Here is a 21,983-nt window from a genome sequence, read left to right as displayed (position 1 = left end):
CTGGGGCAGGAGAAAATGGAGAGTTACAGTTTAATTGAATGGAGTTTAGGTTTGGAATGATGAAAAAGTTCTGGAAATGGATAGCAGTGATTGTTGCATAACCTTGTGAATGCACTTAATGTATATCATGCACTTAAAGCGACTTAATGTACACTTACGAACGGTTGAAATTGTACATTTTGTGTCATGTAAATGTTACTATAATAAAAACATTTAAATCATTTTAATGTACTATGTGTATATAACAACTGTTTGTCTAGTATCCAAGAACATAGGCCAGGTGCAGTGACTCACACCTGTAATCCCAGCACTTTGGGAGGCTGAGGCGGGCGGATAACCTGAGGTCAAGAGTTCGAGACCAGCCTGACCAACAAGGTGAAACCCCCATCTCCACTAAAAATACAAAATTATCCAGGCATGGTGCATGCCTGTAATCCCAGGTACTTGGGAGGCTGAGGCAGGAGAATCGCTTGAACCTGGGAGGCAGAGGTTGCAGTGAGCGGAGATCGTGCCACTGCACTCCAGCCTGGGCAACAAGAGTGAAACTTCGTCTCAAAAAAAAAAAAAAAGAACATTGTCTCTGGAGCCAGTTGACTTGGGTTTAAATCTTAGCCCTAATACTTCTTTCGAGCTAGATGTCCTCATACTAAATACTTGACCTCTCTGTGCCTCAATTTTTTTCAACTATAAAATGGCATAAATAAAAGGGTCTGGTGAGGATTGAATAAGATGAACAGATAAAGCTTTTAAAAACTCCTATATATATGGATGCTCGATAATCATCAGAATTATCTTTATAAAATTTCAAGTACATAGAAGAATATGAAGTCTCTTACATACAAATGGCCAAGAAGCTATTCTCATTCCACATGTTCCACATCATTATTAGTGAAATGCAAATCAAACCCACAATGAGAAACCATTTCGTGCCCACTAGAATGGTTATCATCAAAAATGCAGATAATAACAAATGTTGGCAAGGATGTGAGAAACAGGAACATTCATTTCTTGTGGGGGAGTAACATGGTGCAGCCACTTAGGAAAACAATTTGGCAGTTTCTTTAAAAGTCAAACATGGGCCAGGCATGGTGGCTCACACCTGTAATCCCAGCACTTTGGGAGGCTGAGGCAGGTGGATCACTTGAGGCCAGGTGTTCGAGACCAGCCTAGGCAACATAGTGAAACCCCATTTCTACTAAAAATACAAAAAAATTACGTGGGCTATGGAGGTGCGCACCTGTAATCCCAGGTACTCAGGAGACTGAGACACGAGAATCGCTTGAACCCGGGAGGCAGAGGTTGCAGTGAGCCAAGATGGTGCCACTGCACTCCAGCCTGGGTGACACAGTGAGACACTGTCTCAAAAAAAAAAAAAAAAGTTAAACATAAATTTGCTAATCTACTCAGCAATTCCACTGCTAAATATATTCCCAAGAAAAAGAAAAACATGTTCACATAAAGACTTGCAAACATATGTTTACAGTAGCATTATTTATAATAGCCCCACCATGGAAACAATCCACATGTCCACCAACTGATGAATGCATACACACTCCACACGATGGAAAGCTAGTTGGCCATAAAAAAGAATGAGGTACTGGAACATGCCACCACATGGATAACTTTCAAAACATTATGCCAAGTGAGGTCGAGCATGGTGGCTCACGCCCATAATGCCAGCACTTTGGGAGGCTGAGGCAGGTGGATCATGTAAGGTCAGGAGTTCAAGACCAGCCTGACCAAAATGGTGAAACCCTGTCTCTACTAAAAATATAAAATTAGACGGGTGTGGTGGCAGGTGCCTATAATCCCAGCTACTCAGGAGGCTGAGGCAGGATAATCACTTGAATCCAGGAGGCGGAGCTTGCAGTGAGCTGAGATCACACCACTGCACTCCAGCCTGGCGACAGAGCGAGACTCTGTCTCAAAAAAAAAAACTTGATTTATGAACACTTACAGAGGCACTTATGTGTCAGGCATTATGGTAAGTGCTTTACAAATATTGACTTCTTTCAATCTTCATACCCATATGCATTAGGATTAATCATCCCCCATTTTTCAGATGGTGAGACTGAGGCAGAGATATTAAGTAACATATCAAGGTCACACAGCTAGTCTTGGCATCTGAGCCCAAGTAAACTGCTCCAGGTGGCTCTGCAAACTGGCTGAGCTTCGTGTCTCCCCGCAAATAACCTCACTGGGTCTCCCAAACACAGAAGCACAGAGGTGGGTATGATTATCTCCATTTCACATGTGAGACAGATGAGAGCACAGCAGTTATGTGATGTGCCCGAGGTCACACAGCTGCTGTCAGAGCCTGGATTCAAATCCAGGTTTGGTGACATGGAAGCTGTGCTACTTCAACCATGCTATGTCTTTTCAGTAAAGCATCAAAATGCAGCCATTCTGGGATCTGTGCGAACATCAGAGAGCGCACTTTTTTCTCTGACACGAACTAAATTGGGTTACACTGCTGTTATCTGACATCTTCCCCGGCTATGGTAGAGCCACTCTCATTGTCAAAGAACAGAGAGTAGCATTTTTAAAAAAGAAAACCCGGGAACTCAATAGACAGGAAATCCCTAGCAATTATTTCTCTAAGGAGTTAAAAAAATATTTTAAAATCCATATTAACTCAATGGATTGGATGCAAACTAGCCACATATACTGGAAGCCACATACCACGAGAGGACTAAAATCTAGACTGAAGCATTCTTACTTTTATTCTTAGATTTCCAAGTAATATGAACCCTTAACAAGATAACAATACCATCTGCTAGCACACTCTCTGCCCCATTATCCTTGTACACGGCTGAAGGGCCATGGTATATCAGCATCATAGAGCCCAGTATTGCTGCGTAGTTACAATGAACTTGAGTCTCCCGGCTATACAGCAATTTGAGGATTAACTTTATTAAACAGAATAGACAGATTTTGTGGAACGTGCCTGTTTTGGCTGAGAACTTATCTGCACGATTCTAATATTGAGACCAGGATACAGCTGTTTGTGACTAAGCCCATGCTCACTGAGTAAGTACTATCTGAGCATTATTCATCACCAGACATCTGTTTCCTGTTTTCTTTCTTTCCTTTATCATTCTTTCCCAATTTCCTTTCACCTGTAGGCCACCTAAGACAACCACAGTGAAGTAAGTCTAATGTTTGACTGTCTCTTTTCCCTTCCGTAACTGTTGTTAGGGTAGTGTAGTCATTCTACTTGGAGGATGGGGGAGGGAACCCAAGGGTCACTCTGAGCCTGGAAGGCTGTTGCCTGTGCAGTCTATCTTTAGGTGACTAACTTCCTCCCTTGTTCCCCATTAAGAACTTTTCCTGTTGAGGCAGTACCAGCCCCTCCAAACATACAATTGTGAACTGAATCACAAATGGAAAACCTCCTGTGGCACAAATAAGGCAAGGCAGTAACTTACCTAAAGCAAAGCCAGTACACTCTGATATGAAAAAAATGGAACCTCTTACATGAATACAGAACACAGGATGTGTTTAAATTTAAGGAAGTTCATTTCTATGCAAATAGGTTGAGGTCAGAGAAGTTTTCCTCAGCCCAAGGGAACATCTTTATCATCAGTGTATTACAACAGACTTTAGAGGTCATTTTACACAGTCCTCATATTTTACAAAGCTTGTCATTGTATTTTACAGTCTAAAAGATGAAGTGATTTGTCTAATAGATTCCATTTTAAATGGCTTAAGAATAAGAGAGCGCAATTTAAATACCCCAATAATGAATATTCAGAAAATGTGTTGTATGAAAGGAGAGAAGGTTAGCCCTCCCCTTAACAAACACAGAGTTCCTGGCATCTCACTATGTTTTTATCTTCATCTCACTGTACTCTAAGAATTCTTCTTTTTTTTTTTTAATTTCAGCTCACTGCAACCTCCATCTCCCAAGTTCAAGTGACTCTCCCACCTCAACCTCCCAAAGTAGCTGGGATTATAGGCACGCACCACCACACCCGGCTAATTTTTGTATTTTTAGTAGAGACGGGTGTTTCACCATGTTGGCCAGGCTGGTCTCGAACCCCTGACCTCAGAGGTGATCCGCCCACCTCTGCCTTCCAAAGTGCTGGGATTACAGGCGTGAGCCACCACGCCTGGCCAAAAACACATTCTTTGTACCTTGGCGCTTTTCTTAGCAACCTTCTTTGTATCTTATCCTCTCTTTTCCTCCCTATGTTATATGCAAATAGGACTTTTGAAATATTTAAGGCCGGGCATGGTGGCTCACGCCTGTAATCCCAGCACTTTGGGAGGCTGAGGCGGGCGGATCACGAGGTCAGGAAATCGAGACTATCCTGGCTAACATGGTGATACCCCGTCTCTACTAAAAATACAAAAACAAAACAAACAAACAAACAAAAATTAGCCGGGCGTGGTGGCGGGCGCCTATAGTCCCAGCTACTCGGGAGGCTGAGGCAGGAGAATGGCATGAACCTGGGGAGGTGGAGCTTGCAGTGAGCTGAGATTGCGCCACTGCACTCCAGCCTGGGCGACAGAGCGAGACTCCGTCTCAAAAAAAAAAAAAAAAAAAAAGACACTTTGTAAAATATTTAACATAGGAAGATGGCTTTATTATTAAAAATGTTTATTAAAAGCAGGCATAGAACAAAGTGAATGCTTCTTCTCAGATGGTTTCCTGTGCTTTGTCATTGTTACGGGAAAGGGGTCCCGATCCAGACCCCAAGAGGTTCTTGAATCTTGGGCAAGAAAGAATTTGGGGTGAGTCAATCCATAAAGTGAAAGCAAGTTTATTAAGAAAGTAAAGGAGGCTGGGTGCGGTGGCTCATGCCTGTAATCCCAGCACTTTGGGAGGCCGAGGCAAGCGGATCACAAGGTCAGGAGATCAAGAAAACATCCTGGCTAGCACCATGAAACCCTGTCTCCACTAAAAATACAAAAAATGAGCCAGGCGTGGTGGCAGGTGCCTGTAGTCCCAGCTACCAGCTACTCAGGAGGCTGAGGCAGGAGAATTGCTTGAACCTGGGAGGCAGAGATTGCAGTGAGCTGAGTTCGCGCCACTGCTCTCCAGCCTGGGCAACAGAGCAAGACTCCATCTCAAAAAACAAAAATAATAGTAATAATAATAAAGGAATAAGAGAATGGCTACTCCATAAGCAGAGCAGCAGCATGGGCTGCTAGCTAGCTATTTTTATGGTTGTTGATTATATGCTAAACAAGGGGTGGGTTATTCATGAGTTTTCTGGGAAAGGGGTGACCAATTCCCAGAGCTGAGGGCTCCTCCCCTTTTTAGACCATATAGGGTAACTTCCTGACGTTTCCATGGCATTTGTAAACTGTCATGTTGTGGTGGAAGTATCTTTTAGCATGCTAATGCATTATAATTAGTGTATAATGAGCAGTGGAGACGACCAGAGGTCACTTTCATCATCTTGGTTTTGGTGGGATTTCGCCAGCGTCTTTACCACAACGTGTTTTATCAGCAAGGTCTTTGTGACCTGAACCTCGTGCCAACCTCCTATCTCATCCTGTGACTAAGAATGCCTAACCACCTGGGAATGCAGCCTAGTAGGTCTTTTACCCAGCCCCTGTTCAAGATGGAGTCCTGTGGGTCAAATGCCTCTGACATCATCACTCTTCAAAAATACTTTGTAAATCAAGATTAATAATCAACTTATTGGCTGTTACACAACTTACTGAACCTAGCATTCCAGATGGTATAGAATTAAATAATTCTGCACTTTTCCTGTGTTTGTCTGATGTTAAGTCAATTAACTTCAGAGTTGAGGTTTCAATACCAACACAGGTGACAATTACCTTGCTGGTTGTCTAATACATCTACTCTCTTATGCACCCATTATAATAGAATTTTTCAGTTCAGCTCAGAAGCGGCCAAAGTAAAGGCTTCAACCTCCTTTGAAATAATGGGACTGCATCCAAGTTCTGGCCAATGGTATATAAACAAGAATTTTGTGTGGAAACTTCCTTAGGAAAAGCAGGCTTGCTCTTTGCCTGCTTGGATCATGAAAATGAGTATCTCACTCTAGGAATGAGGGTGCCTGGGGCTGAGACTTTGTGAAGCAGATCCAGCAACCAGCCCTCAACTGATCGCAGCTCTTCGTGCACAAGAGAAAAATAAACTATCTCATTCAAGCACTGTGATTTGGGGATCCTATCAGTGGATCCAAAATGAATGCTAACACACCAGCTCCGTCACTTGGGTCTCTGAAAAATAAAAGCATGTTTTAAAATTTTTGCCTGTCCTTTAAAATTCACAGGATTTCGTGTTATTATAGAAGATGGTCGGCTGGGCACAGTGGCTCACGCCTGCAATCCTAGCACTTTGGGAGGCCGAGGCGGATCACCTGAGGTCAAGAGTTCAAGACCAGCCTGGCCAACATAGTGAAACCCCATCTCTACTAAAAATACAAAACATTAGCCAGGTGTGGTGGCGGGCACCTGTAATCCCAGCTACTCGGGCTGAGGCAGCAGAATCATTTGAACCCAGGAGGTGGAGGTTGCAGTAGCTGAGATCACACCAGTGCACTCTAGCCTGGGCAAAAAGAACAAAACTGTGTCCGCCCCCCAAAAAAAAAGATGGTCCCAGTCATGATTCTTTACAAGTCCTAGGTTCTAAGGAATCGTTTAATAACAAGTCAATTATATAATCCTGGATAAAAATTGAAAGAGGCCGGGCACTGTGGCTCACGCCTGCAATCCCAGCACTTTGAGAGGCCGAGGCTGAGGTCAGGAGTTCGAGACCAGCCTGGCCAACATGGCAAAACACCGTCTCTACTAAAAATACAAAAATTGGCCAGGCGTGGTGGCAAATGCCCATAATCCCAGCTACTCAGGAGGCTGAGGCAGGAGAATCACTTGAACCCGGGAGGCAGAGGTTGCAGTGAGCTGAGATCATGCCATTACTCTCCAGCCTGGACAACAGAGAAACTACGTCTCAAAAAAAAAAAAAAAAAAAAAAAATTGAAAGATAATCTTGGTACATAAATTATTTTGTAAATAGAATCTCAGAAGAGCAATATATGAGATCGATAAGCAAACAAAACAAATATTGCATTGTTGAGGTTTTCAAATTTTTTTTATTTTTAAGAAAATAACTAGCCAGGAATCATTTTATTTCTACTGTGGAAGAATTATGAATTATTCAAGATCAATCTTTAATTGCTCAATGTAAATTAAGCCTTCATATGATTTGGATATAAAGTATCTTTCAGAAGCTAAATAATCATACTAACTGCTCCCTTGAGCCCGGGATGCAGAGGTTGCAGTGAGCTGAGATTGCACCACTGCACTCCACCCTGGGCAACAGAGGGAGACTGCCTCAAAAAAAAAAAAAAAAAAAAACTTATTAACTGCTGAATCTTTTACATTAACTTAAGCTTAATTCTCACATTATCAATTGTATTGCTCATATAATATTTGAACCATTTTTTCAAAATCAGTTGTAATGACTGAAAGATGAAGGTCTCCAATGTCTGAGATAAGTAAAAGGATATCAATTAATACTAGAACATTTACCTTCTTCAAGAAAAATATGTTAATGGCTTAATCATGATTGTCTACTTTTGAGAGACAGGACTCGCTGGATTTCCTAGGCCGACTAGGAATTCCTAAGCCTAGCTGGGGAAGGTGACCACACCTACCCTTAAACACGAGGCTTGTAACTCAGCTCACACCCGACCAATCAGGTAGCAAAGAGGGCTCACTAAAATACAAACTAGGCTAAAAGCAGGAAGTAGAGAAATAGTCAAATCACATATCGCCTGAGAGTACAGGGGTAGGGACAATGATTGGGATATAAACCCAGGCATTTGAGCAGGAAGTGGGCAACCCCCTTTGCATCCCCTCCCATTGTATGGGAGCTGTTTTCATTCTATTAAATCTTGCAACTGCACACTCTTCTGGTCTGTGTTTGTTACAGCTCGAGCTGAGCTTTCGCTCACTGTCCACCACTGCTGTTCACTGCTGTCCCAGACCCACCATTGACTTCCACCCACTGGATCCAGCAGGGTGTCCGCTGTGCTTCTGATCCAGAGAGGTGTCCATTGCCGCTCCCAATCGGGCTAGAGGCTCACCATTGTTCCTGCATGGCTAAGGGCCCAGGGTTCATCCTAATCGAGCTGAACACTAGTCACTGGGTTCCACAGTTCTCTTCCGTGACCCATGACTTCTACTAGAGCTATAACACTGACCACATGGCCCAAGGTTCCATTCTTTGGAATCCGTGAGGCCAAGAACCCCAGGTCAGAGAACAAAAGGCTTGCTGCCATCTTGGGAGTGGCCACCACCATCTTGGGAGCTCTAAGAACAAAGGCCTGCCTGTAACACTTCTACCACAGAATTGAGAAAATAAATTCATTTGTAATTTTTGTTTCTCTCACCTTCAATGTCACTGGCAAACATACTGCCTACCAGCTACTCCTCAGCCTTACACCTTAAGCATACGTCCTGATCTTACTCTTCGAGTTGAGGGTTTACCATCTTGGCATTGGGTAGCCGTGTTTCCCTGAGGCTACAGATTAAGAGGGGTCACCAACTCATTCCATCTGCTCTCATCTCGGCAGAGCAGGCCTACAGGTCAATCCCATTCCACTTGTGCATTTCATTCTGATCTGTAACAGTAACAAGGCCTGGATGAAAAGATCACTGAAAAAACAAACTAGAAATATTCTAAAATAGTTGTCATTTTCCTTCCATAGACTATCAGGGAGTTTGTATCTTTGAGACAGAACCCACACAGACTCAGTTTCTCTATGCAGTCCTTGTTTCCTGCCATTTAATTTTAGATGAAAATGAGACATATGAGTACACTGAAAAGTAACATCACCATCTGGAAAATTATACATAAGGAAAATGCAATAAGGGAATATAGATCCTTCAGCCCCTATTCCAGTACTCTTTAACAACTCTGCTTCCTTGGACGGGAATTCATGAGGTATAATACTTAAGGAGATTTTCATCTGTAGGTTTTAGGATTTTCTTATCGGCCATATTCACCACCCATCCTGGAGCAAGACCAAAGAAAATCTGCCTTGGATCCTTCCTAGTACAGAGCATTTTGAAGAGTTCATCTTTAGTGATATCAGGTAAGATATAACCATACTTCCTGGCGAGTTCAAGTCGTGCTTCAGGAAATTTGGCAGGATCCGCCAGGTACCCACGGTTCTTTGCATCAGTGTAATATGGTACCAGTTCTTCTGGTGGAAGCATTCTTTTTGGAATGGGTTGTCCACGAAGAAAGAATGGAACAGGTTTGCATACAATGTCTAAAAGAAAATTTAAATTTAAAAAGTGAGATGCAAATATTAGCTCATAGACATACCTAGAGATGTAACTCTAACATAGAGATGTAACTCTGTACCATAGAGATGTTACAGAGTTTCTCTTGATTATTAATTTTTATTATTTTTTTTTTGAGACGCAGTTTCACTCTTGTTGCCCAGACTGGAGTACAATGGCACCATCTCGGCTCACTGCAACCTCTGCCTCATGGGTTCAAGCAATTCTCCTGCCTCAGCCTCCCAAGTAGCTGGGATTAGAGGCACATGCCGCCACGCCCGGATCATTTTGTATTTTTAGTAGAGACGGGGTTTGACCATGTTGGTCAGGCTGGTCTGGAACTCTTGACCTCAGGTGATCCACCCACCTGGGCCTCCCAAAGTGCTGGGATTACAGGCATGAGCAACCATACCTGTATCTGGAAAACCAATTTTACTAAAATGAGTTATCTTAACTAAAGAGCAGGCAAAGAAATCTTATGTGAAACAAACCAAGGAATGCTGCATAACCCCAGTTCTGTTTTCAAACATTTTAAAGGACCCGAGACACATGTTCTGAAAGTGAGATAGTGAAAAAAAGGCCTACGCACAAGATATCACAGATGCCACAGGGCCTTTAGATAGCTTAGAAAGCAATTACACAAATAGATAACTGTATGAATACAACTGACACTCTACTCATCGTGTTAGCAATGCAACCTTAACCAAAGCTGGTTACAGAAATCAAAACAGTACTAAGGAAATTACTGAGAACCTCAAAATAATAGTACATATGTCACAGAGCAGTTACAAAGTTTACCTGATGTAATCCACAGAATCCATTCACACATGTATAGTATTTGGTATACAATGAGACAGATGTTAACTATCACCCACCAGGGCGTAAGCTCTGTGAAGGAAGGGACTTTTTTTTTTTTTTTTTTGAGACAAAGTCTCGCTCTGTCGCCCAGGCTAGAGTACAGTGGCATGATCTCGGCTCACTGCAACCTCTGCCTCCCAGACTCAAGTGATTCTCCTGCCTCAACCTCCCAAGTAGCTGGGATTACAGGCATGCACCACCATGCTCAGCTAATTTTTGTATTTTTAGTAGAGATGGGGTTTTGCCATGTTGGCCAGGCTGGTCTTGAACTCCTGAACTCAGGTGATCCACTTCACTTGGCCTCCCAAAGTGCTGGGATTACAGGCGTGAGGCCACTGCGCCCGGCCAGGAAAGGACTTTTGACTCTTGCACTATCGTCTCTCCATCAGCTGGAACAGTATCTAGCAAACACTAGCCTCTGGCTGTTTGCTGAATGCAAGAATCTGACAGCTGTTTTATACAGCTCTAATATATTGCATCACCTAGCAGTATCTCCACACAGGGCAAATGAGAAATGGTGATTAGGAGGTACTCCAGGCAGGCCACTCACAGAAATGAGAACTGGAAGCTATCTGCTAAGGGTCGAGACCAAGAATTATAAAGCAGAGCCACCTAAAGCCAGGTCATGCTCTGGATAAACCATCCTACCTACTTCACCTACAACAGAGGGTAAGTAAATAGTGGATGTCCTTGAATCATCAAGAAAGTATCTTCAAAATATATTTAAGAAAGAAATTTGTAGACCAGGCACAATGGCTCATGCTTTTAATGCCAGCACCTTGGGAGGTAGGAGAATTGCTTGAGCGCAGGAGTTCAAGACCAGCCTGAGCAACATAGTGAGACCTCATCTCTACAAAACATAAAACAAAAAAAAGTTAGCATGGTGACATGCACCTGTAGTCCCAGTTACTCAGGGGGCCTAGGTGGCAGGATTTCTTGAGCTCAGGAGTTTCAGATTGCAGTGAGTGGAACTGCACTCTAGCCTGAGAGAGCAAGACCATCTCAAATGAAAAGAAAAAAAAAAAATTTCTGGCCCGGCATGGTGGCTCACACCAAGGATCACTTGAAACCAGGAGTTTGAGACCAGCATGGGCAACACAGTAAGACCCCTATCTTTATAAAAATCAAATTAGCCAGGCATGGTGGCACACACCTGTAGTCCCAGCTACTCATGAGGCTGAGATGGGAGGATCACTTGAGCCCAGGAGTTGGAGGTTGCAGTCAGCCTTGATCACACCACTACATTCCAGCCTGGGTGACAGAGTGAGACCATGGTGCAAAAAATTTTCTATAACTTGGAAAACTAAAGTACAACAAAGTAAATTATTCAGAGGCAAAATTGCTAATAAGTGATAAGCCTGTGATTGGATTTGTTTTATTACTTTTTTAAACAAAAAGATCCTGGGACAACCTGCAGAGCTGCTGCAGAGAGCCACGCACAAGAGCATCAAGGCTGAGGGTGCCTCTGAAGATGCCAGCTCAGTGTGGCAGAGGGCATCTGGCTAGAGAACAAACTCCACCACCACATTCTGTGGTAACAATCACTGAAAAACACACTAACACCAAAGTCCTTCCAAAATGTCTGTGACTCTTTTAAAAATGCTGGTTTTCATATTTGAGGCAGCCTACCCTAAAAACTGAGTGATGGACCAAAATAAGAAAAGATGCTCATCTATAATAAACTAGAGGGAAAACGGAATCATCATGTTGGCAAATTTTTTTTGTTTTTTTTTTGAGACAGTCTCACTTTGCCACCCAGCCTGGAGTGCAGTGGCGCGATCTCAGCGATCTCAGCTCACTACAACCTCTGCTCCCAGGTTCAAGGGATTCTCCTGCCTTAGTCTCCCGAGTAGTTGGGATTACATGCGCCTGCCACCACACCCCGCTAATTTTTGTATGTTTAGTACAGATGAGGTTTCACCATGTTGGCCACGCTGGTCTAGAACTCCTGACCTCATGTGATCCGTCCATCTCGGCTTCCCAAAGTGCTGGGATTACAGGAATGAGCCACTGCGCCCGGCCTTTGATGAATATTTTTAAAAAGCTTTCAATTATGGGAAAAAGGAAATGGTAGTTATTTGTTTCAAACTCTACATACAGATGACACAAATCCTTCCCTTTTTCCCTTTTATATATTAATTTTCAAAGAATTTTCTTCTAATCATGCAATTTGGCCAGGAAATGTTTAACTCCCATTTGAATGTAAAAGCATCAAAGAATCCTTTGTAGAGCATTTAGTCAACAAGTTACATTTGGTTGTCATCTCTGCAACTTGAAAAATCCAATTAATTTATTCAACAAAATTTAAGTGAGCCTCTTCTAGATACCAGGCATCGCTCTATGTGCAGGAGATACAGCAGGTAGCAAAAGGTCTCCATCATCCTGAGAGATGGGAAAGAAAGAATGAACAGAGAAAGAGAAATGAACTTATACTTTGTCAGCTGGTGATAGCTGCCAAGGGCAAACACAATGCAGGGCAAGGGGACAGGATGTGACTGTGCGTGTGTGCGTGTGCACACCATGCATGTGCATGTGTGTACATATGCTCTTTTATTTAGTACAGGTGAGAAAGATCTCCTAATAAGCAGAGACCTGGAACAGTGGGGCCCAAAGCCATGAATATTCCAAGTGGGGGAAGCTCCAGGCAGGAGGAACAGCAGAGGCCGAGGCTGAAGTACACAGTACACAGGGCTCGGTGTATGGAGGAAGGCCAAACCCGGTGGCCAGTAAGGGAATGGAGGGAGCAGGGGAACACCAGGAGGGACAAGAGCTGGTGCAGATCACAGCCAGCCTTGCAGGAGCAGCACGGACACCACTGCAGGTTTTGTGCAAAGGAGTGACAGTCCATGCTTTAAAAGGAACCTTGTGCCACGTCACTCCACTGCAGATGGAAGCAAAACAGAGAGGCAACCTGAAGGCCCACAGTCATCCAGGCAAGAGGACAGTGGCTAGGACAGACTGGCAGTAGCTGGAGAAGTGGTCAAATGTGGACACAGTTTGAAGAAACAACTCAAAAGATTTATGAGGGCATAAAAGAAAAAGTTCAGGACTCCAAATTTTGGATGGACTTGTCATTTACTTACATAGGGAAGACTACAAGAAGAGCCAGGCTGAGGTAAAAGAGAAAAGAGGGGTTGGGCGTGGTGGCTCACACCTGTAATCCCAGCACTTTGGGAAGCTGAGAAGGGTGGACCATTTGAGGTCAAGAGTTCAAGACAGCCTTGACAACATGCTGAAACCCGCCTCTAGCCAAAATACAAAAATTGGCTGGGTGTGGTGGCAGGCACCTGTAACCCCAGCTACTCCGGTGACTGAGACAGGAGAATCGCTTGAACCTGGGAGGCAGAAGTTGCAGTGAGCAGAGATTGCGCCACTGCACTCCAGCCTGGGCAACAGAGCAAGACTCTGTCTTAAAAAAAAAAAGAGAGAAAAGAGACATTTCAGACATGCTATATTTGAGGTCCCTGCTAGACATTCTAGAGAATTGGCCAGGCAGGCAGATGCAGGTCTACAGTTCAGGGGAGGGGCTGAGAGCCTTTTTTGCCCTTGGTGTATGTGTCAGCAACAGGCTGTATTCTTTAAATCATAATAATCCATATGGTAGATGTAGATCAATACTACATCCAAACTACTACCAACATTTGCCATTCACTAAGTAATTTAAAATTAGTAGCCAACATGAGACAAAGAGAGAAAGAAGAAAATGACCGTGGAACAAACTTACCCAGACTTCTTGGATCATAGAAGGCTGTAGTAACAACACCACCATTTTTTTCAATGGCAGCAATAGCTAGTTCTGAAGCCAACTGTACTTCAATATTAACTTTTGCCGTAAAGGTGTCAGCACCCTGAAATATGTCAAAACAGTCTGTTGGTAAACAGCTTGGCTAAAAGTAAATTAATTATGTCAAGCTTCCTTTTTAGACAGTGTTTTTCCCTCCAAAGTGCCTATAACATAACAATACAGTTAGTCCTCCATATCTGTGGGTTCCACATCTGTGAGTCAACCAACTTGAATGGATAATTTTCGGAAAAAAAGTAATAATAAAAAATAAGGCTGGGCGCAGTGGTTCACGCCTGTAATCCCAGCCCTTTGGGAGGCCAAGGTAGGTGGATCACCTGAGGTCAGGAGTTCAAGACCAGCCTGCCCAACATGGAGAAACCCCATCTCTACTAAAAATACAAAAAATTAGCTGGGTGTGGTGCCGCGTGCCTGTAGTCCCAGCTACTCAGGAGGCTGAGGTGGGAGAATCGCTTGAACCCGGGAGGGGAAGGTTGCAGTGAGCTGAGATCGCGCCATTGCACTCCAGCCTGGGCTACAAGAGTGAAACTCCGTCTCAAATAAAAATAAAAATAAAATAAGGCCAGGCATGGTGGCTCATGCCTGTAATCCCAGCACTTTGGGAGGCCAAGGCAGGAAGATCACCTGAGGTCAGGAGTTTGAGACCAGCCTGGCCAACATGGTGAAACCCCGTCTCTTAAAATACAAAAATTAGCCGGGCATGATGGCAGGCACCAGTAATCCCAGCTATTTCGAGGCTGAGGCAGGAGAATCACTTGAACTCGGGAGGCAGAGGCTGCAGTGAGCTGAGATCACACCACTGCACTCCAGTCTGGGAGACAGAGCAAGACTCCATCTCAAAAAAAAAAAAAAAATCAATACAACAATAAGAAAACAATTCTTTTTTAAATACAGTATAACAACTATTTATATAGTATTTACATTACTTTCAATGGCAAAAGCCACAATTACTTGTGCACCAACCTAATATTACATGTTATAAGTAATCTAGAGATGATTTAAAGTATATGGGAGGATGTGGCAGGTTATATGCAAATACTAGGCCATCTTAGAGACTTGATCATCTGGATTGTAGTGAGAGGAGGCGGTCATGGAACCAATCCTAAGGGACGACTATAATTCCTATTTTAAATATCTCTGCTTTGAGGTCCTATCACTTTTTTTTTAACATTTTATTTAGGCTACCTTGTTTTACTAATTTTCAATCCGTGTAAGTAAGACTGACTACATTTCCATTTTATGTACACCTACTAAGCATTCATTCCTGACTTCATTAATAGTAGGCTGCTTAATCCTCATAACAACCTTATGATAGGATTATTGCTATCCCGACTTCATAGATGGAAATACCGACTTCATAGATGGAAATACCGACTTCATAAATGGAAATACCAACTTTCATAGATCGGAAATACCGACTTTCATAGACGGAAATACCGACTTCATAGATGGAAATACCAACGCACAGAGGTTGCATTGCCCAAGGTCACAAAGCAAGTATTCTAATCCAGGGAGTTTAGTCACAGTATCTGTATTCTTAACCACAACATTATGCTGTCAAACATAGATTAAAAACTAATCTTCCTTATCCCTAAGTAAGCAAGAGGCCAGCAGGAGGTTAAACAGGGGAATATGCAGGCTGGAGCAGGTGGAAGAACAGAAAATCTGACAAAATCTGAGCTTTGGAGAAGTTGGCCTCACTAGGGAAAAAAAGACAATAGAAATTTCACTTTGCATTCACTATTGACTTTATTATAGCCTCTAAGCTGAAAAAAAAAAAACCTCCAATTTTTCCTAGAATAGTCAACACTAGAAAATGTAGTTCTAGGCCGGGCGCAGTGGCTCACGCCTGTAATCCCAGCATTTTGGGAGGCCAAGGCGGGTGGATCACGAGGTCAGAAGATCAAGACCACCCTGGCTAACACGGTGAAACCCTGTCTCTACTAAAAATACAAAAAAATAAATAAATTAGCCGGCCATGGTGGCGGGTGCCTGTAGTCCCAGCTACTCAGGATGCTGAGGCAGGAGAATGGTGTGAACCCGGGAGGCGGAGCTTGCAGTGAGCCGAGATCGCGCCACTGCACTCCAGCCTGGGTGACAGAGCGAGACTCCATCTCAAAAAAAAAAAAAAAAAGAAAAGAAAATGTAGTTCTAGGCCGGGTGCGGTGACTCAATCCTAGCACTTCGGGAGGCCAAGGAGGGCGGAGTACTTGATGTCTGGAGTTTGAAACCAGCCTGGCCAACATGGTAAAACCCCATCTCTACTAAAAAATACAAAATGTAGCCGGGCATGGTGGCATGTGCCTGTAATCCCAGCTACTCGGGAGGCTGAGGCAGGAGAATGGCTTAAACCCAAGGTGGAGGTGAAGGTTGCAGTGAGTCGAGATTGTGCCATTGCACTGCAGCCTGGGCAACAGAGCGAGACTCCATCTCAAAAAAAATAAAAAAGACAGAAAAAAAAGGAAAATGTAGCTCTGAACTCTGAAACGTTAAATTTTTGGTCACAGTCAGGATGTGCTATATTTTTCTCTAATTTCAAAGCAGATTCTGATAAAAGCAAAAAGATGGCAGCATTACCACTCTATGGCAATAGAAAGCTTTCATGAAGCTGAAAGAAAGTGGCTCCCAGTTTAGCTCCTTCTATTATTAATTTTTCATGTATTTCAAAAATATTCCATCAATTCTAAGATGCATTTTCACACTTTTTTTATATCCAATACTGGTATATGTTTAAAATCAACAGTACCTTTGATTCAATAAAACAGGGTCTTGCTGTATCATTTGTGATTTTTAAGCAATCCATAGTTTGCTTAACCATCTCCCTATTTGGGGGCATTGGTGTCAGTTCCAGTATTTTCAGTAGTATAAATAGCATTTTTAGGACTATCTTTATATCAGGTTTCTTTCATTTTGCTTTTCCTTGAGAACATGTTTCCAAATTGATAATTTTGTGCTAAAGGATCAAAACTGTCTTATTATTCACTATTTACTACAAATCTGAAATCACAGAAGTAAATCAGTTAACAGAGCTATAAATAATGTGTCATTGCAATTACTTGACCAGTGCCCTGGGGTAAAGTTTTCAGGGTTATTTTTATTAATCTAATAGACAACACCTAAGGATGTTGGGATGTGCAGTTTAAGGGCTGATAAGGTCATGGATTTCCATATGTTAAGTTACATGTGTATTTCTTTATATACACTCAGGGTAGAATACTGAGGCTTAATCTTGTATTTGGTATTCTCTTTTCAAATTACTTTATTTGGAAAGTTTTTATCCATACAGTTCACTTTTTCAAAAGAATCTGAAAGGTTTTTTCATAAATATATGCTTCCCTCTAGTGGACACTAACTTACTTATACAACTGTATTATTGGCAAACAGTAGTTGATTAACAATGTACAAAAAATTTGGCCGACGGGTAGCTCACGTCTGTAATCCCAGCACTTTGGGAGGCCGAGGCAGGCGGATCACCTGAGGTCAGGAGTTCAAGACCAGCCTAACCAACACGGTGAAACCCTGTCTCTACTAAAAATACAAAATTAGCCTGGCATGGTGGCACATGCCTGTAATCCCAGCTACTTGGAAGGCTAAGACAAGAGAATCGCTTGAACCCGGGAGGTGGAGATCGCAGTGAGCCGAGATCGTGCCACTGCACTCCAGCCTGGGTGACAGAGTGAGACTCCATCTCCAAAAACAAAAAAAAAGCAGAAAATTAGCTGGGCCTGGTGGCAGGTGCCTGTAATCCCAGCTACTTGGGAAGCTAAGGCAGAAGAATCACTTGAACTCAGGAGACAAGAGGTTGCAGTGAGCTGAGATGACACCACTGTACTCCAGCCTGGGCCACAGAGTGAGATACTGTCTCAAAAAAAATAAAGAAGAAAGTAAAGCAATGAATCAAAGCACCTGCCCTCAAGGGAGCTTATATTCTAGTGAGGAAGACAATGAAAACAAATGCATAACTTGGTAATAAATGTCAAGTGCTCATATATATTCAAAGAAAAATACTTTGGGCAGAGTAAAGGAAACACTGTGACTCCTGAAGCAGGGCAAGTGCTCTTTTAAAAAGACTCTCAAAAAAGACCTTCCTGGCCAGGCGGGGTGGCTCACATCTGTAATCCCAGCACTTTGGGAAGCTGAGGCGGGCAGATCACCTGAGGTCAGGAGTTCGAGAACAGCCTGGCCAACATAGCAAAACCCCACCTCTACTAAAAATAAAAAAAATTAGCCAGACGTGGTGGCACGCACCTGTAGTCCCACCTACTCAGGAGGCTGAGGCACGAGAATAGCTTGAACCTGGGCAGCAGAGGTTGGCAGTGAGCTGAGATCGCGCCATTGTACTCCAGCCTGGGAGACAGAGTGAGACTCCATCTCTATTTAAAAAAAAAAAAAAAAAAAAAAAAAAAAGATCTTCCTGATATGTTGACATTCAAGCAGAGAACCAAAAGAAGGGGGCGCCGTGGGCGGTGGCTCACGCCTGTAATCCCAGCACTTTGGGAGGCCAAGGTGGGTGGATCACGAGGTCAGGTGTTCAAGACCAGCTTGGCCAATATGGCGAAACTCCATCTCTACTAAAAATATAAAAAATTAGCCGGGTGTGGTGGCGCACGACTATAGTCCCAGCTACTCAGGAGGCTGAGGCAGGAGAATTTCTTGAACCCAGGAGGCAGAGGTTGCAGTGAGCCGAGATCGTGCCACTGCACTCCAGCCTGGGCAACAGAGCGAGACTCCATCTCAAAAACAAAAACAAAAAAAAAAGAAGGCAAGCTTTACAGATATGCAGAAGAGCAGCATTCCAGGACCAAGGGACAGAGCCCTGCCATGATAGTATGACAGCTTTCCAAAACCACAGCTATCACCACTACATAACAGTTATAAACACAAATGGGCTAAAAATAAAGGGGGTAGAGTACTGATTATCTGGAAATCAAAAATATCTCCTACGGGCCAGGCATGGTGGCTCACACCTGTAATTCCAGCACTTTGGGAGGCCGAGGTGAGCAGATCACTTAAGGTCAGGAGTTCAAGATCAGCCTGGCCAACATAGTGAAACCCTGTCTCTACTAAAAACAAATAAAATTAGCTGGGCATGGTGGTGGGTGCCTGTAATCCCAGCTATTCAGGAGGCTGAGGCAGGAGAATCACTTGAACTTGTGAGGTGGAGGTTGCAGGAGCCGAGATTGCGCCACTGTACTCCAGCTCAGGCAACAGGGCAAGACTCTGTCTAAAAAAAAAATCCTCCTATATAACACCAAAAGATCTAATCAAGACTTACCTCCTCAACCAGCTGGACACCATAATCCCTTTTAAGTGGCTGGATGGTCACACCTCTCCCATTGACAAGCTGGGTTAAGTCAATAGGTTGACTAGGATCAACACGACCCAAATCAATAAGATACTGCAGTCTATTGAGACTCAAAGGCTTATACTGGCGTCTGAAACTGTAAAACAAGAATGTAAGAGTTGGAAAACTCTCATCTTCCTGTAACTTCTCGAAATCAACTCAAAGCTTTGTCTTGTGTTTTCCTCCACCAATTTTATTTAACTAAACAAAACCCTCTTGAGTGTAACACAAACATGTAATACTGCTTGATTTTGGGTAATGAAAACAAACCTGTACCACCTTTGTTCCACTAAAAATTATTTCCCTCTCTAAGCATTTACTTCACTTATTTACACAAATAAATCTGTGGAAAATTTAACTTACTATGGAGCTCAAAGTAATAATGGTAGTTATCATTTATTAGGTGACTACAGTGGGCCAGATTTTTATGTATACTGTCTATTATTGCTCACTCTTTTAATAACCATTAGAGCTGGCATTAGAATCTCCATTTTGCAGGTCTAAGTGCAGTGTCTGGGCCTCTTTTCCTTTTAATAATCCAGGCAAGATTTCATTACCAAAAAATGGTTCAGGGGAACAGTAGCAAAAGTTTGCTTCAAAGTGAATTTACAATTTCCACCAAAATTTCTACCAAACTATTTTTAGGTGCTTTTTAATGGAAATTGGGGACCTGTACTTTAAAAAGCAAAGCAACCTTACCTATGTCCTTCGTTAAACCCGTATTTTGGGATTCGGATGTAAAATGGAGTCTGGCCTCCCTCAAAGCCCAAGCGGGGCCGGGTTCCTCTTTGCCTTTCTCCTTTATGGCCTCTGCCACATTTTCTACCTCTTCTCCGACCTCTTGGTCTTCTCTCCTGCAAGGAAAAAAAAGAATTTTATGAATTTCAGATGCATTTCTAAAAACTGCATTTCAGCTCTTCACTTTTTGTTATGCTGTTCATTCATCCAGCCCACCAGTGCTAGCTAACACTATTGTGTCAAGCATGTCCTAGTTGCTCAAAGCTCCACACACTCTGTTAGCATCTTTGCCTCTAAAGACATAGCTAATTCTTGTAACCAAAGTCCAAGTGTGTTTCAAAAGCAAAAAGTAAAGGTTAGGATGGGGATAAGGTTTTTATAATAGGTTGAAACCGAAAAAAATCCTAGAATTAAATATTCACAACATTTTAAATGATAGGCAAGAATTTATTCTGAAATTAATTGTAAATATGCAAATGTTATTCATAAACCTGTAATTTTATTTGAAAACTGATCTGTTGAAGAAAATCTTTTCCTTAATTTCCTGTCATTTCACGAAAGCAATGAACTGACTGTTAAAATGACAGTACATTGTCAACTAACAGCTTTTCTAGCTCTATTTAGTCAACTGCAGAAGGGACAGCTGCAATTCAGATCTTTCCAATGAACATAAAGATACACCGGGAAAACATTTCATTTTAAATCCAATTTTGAATGACACAAAGACTTTGTAGTTTCAGCGAGTCGGCTTCTCCGCCTGGTATCTTTACACTTGTAAACATAACCTTATTAAGAACTGGGTGCGGCCGGGGGCGGTGGCTCACGCCTGTAATCCCAGCACTTTGGGAGGCCGAGGCAGGCGGATCGCGAGCTCAGGAGTTCAAAACCAGCCTGGCCAACACGGTGAAACCACGTCTCTACTAAAAATACAAAAATTAGCCGGGCGTGATGGCGGGCGCCTGTAATCCCAGCTAATCGGGAGGCTGAGGCAGGAGAATTGCTTCTGGGCGACAGAGCAAGCCTCCGTCTCGGAAAAAAAAAAAAAAAAAAAAAAAAGAACTGGGTGCACGTGGAAAGATTCCCCTCTGGGCAGTAAGGGAGAACAGGCATGAGGCAATCCTATTTTCATCCCAACACTCTCCTAGAAAGGGCAGTTCTCCTAATGACAGGGAGAGAAGGGCCGCTTTCATCGCCCGGGTCCCCAGCGCTTCCCCGCACCGCCACCACCCATTTACCGGTTTCTTGGAGCCGGGATTCGGCTTTAAGTTGGCCAGGCTCACACGCGGCAGGCCCCGGAGTAGGTCCAGGGCCCGGGCCCCACCGCCCTGCAAGGGACCGGCCATAACCCGCAGATCCAAGAACTTTCAAGGGCGCCCTGAGCTGCTCGGAGGCCACGTGGTCTCGGGGGCTGCTTTGTGGCCGTGGCCCCGCCCCTGTCGCGCTGCAGCCGCGCGCGCAAGCCCGGGAGTCGGGCAGAGGCGTGGGAGTCTGCAACCTTGTCTCGGTTGTCCTTTTAGTTGTTTGGGGATGTGATCTTATTTTCCGAGATCCTGCTTTGTCCTCGGGGTCCCTTTTAATATTCTGAACGTAAAACCTTCTCTTTCGCCAAACGAGAGCATGCACTAAAAACACTGCGTTAAATAAAGGATCTTTTTTGAGTCAGTGTTGGGCCTTGCCTGTTTGTCTAGGCCGTGTCTTCTCTGAGGTCAATGCAGAACCCAGAGTAAAGCAAAGTGAGCTGTCAATTATTAGCTTTTGAGCTTGCGTAATTATACACCGTGAGGTACGAAAATAAAACTGAGTGCACCTATCAAAATGCCTGGCTAATAACCAATCTTTGAATAAGACTCAAAGTGTGAACTCTCATCCGTGTGCATCTGTATTGTTTTGAGTGAATCGCAGTTAGTAACCACCTATTGTTAATGACTGGCGCCATACTGAATGCCTGGTGTATGCCAGACGCTGTAT

At 43.3% G+C, this 21,983-nt stretch overlaps 1 protein-coding gene and 1 pseudogene across 1 annotated transcript, besides 1 other annotated feature; one reads left to right on the top strand and one right to left on the bottom strand.

The window, feature by feature from the left end:
- Positions 3,760–3,835, top strand: RNU6ATAC32P (RNA, U6atac small nuclear 32, pseudogene; annotated as a pseudogene).
- Positions 8,128–21,401, bottom strand: MRPL15 (mitochondrial ribosomal protein L15). Its single transcript, NM_014175.4, has 5 exons — positions 21,251–21,401; positions 19,977–20,131; positions 19,209–19,374; positions 13,856–13,979; positions 8,128–9,260 (listed from the first exon to the last, which is right to left on the bottom strand). Exons 1-5 carry the CDS (start codon positions 21,356–21,358, stop codon positions 8,923–8,925), a joined length of 891 nt encoding a protein of 296 aa, NP_054894.1. The 5' UTR covers positions 21,359–21,401; the 3' UTR covers positions 8,128–8,922.
- Positions 15,346–15,546: a silencer, noted in NCBI's record as "peak7022 fragment used in MPRA reporter construct". NCBI's record gives its function as "represses an SCP1 promoter by STARR-seq MPRAs in K562 erythroleukemia cells {active_cell/tissue: K562}" and the evidence as "EXISTENCE:reporter gene assay evidence [ECO:0000049][PMID:32103011]".
- Positions 21,402–21,983: the final 582 nt, after the last annotated feature.

This window comes from Homo sapiens, chromosome 8 (genome assembly GCF_000001405.40).
Source record: "Homo sapiens chromosome 8, GRCh38.p14 Primary Assembly".
NCBI lineage: Eukaryota > Metazoa > Chordata > Mammalia > Primates > Hominidae > Homo > Homo sapiens.
The sequence above is the reverse complement of the archived record's forward strand: the minus strand, read 5'-3'. Positions and strand labels throughout refer to the sequence as shown.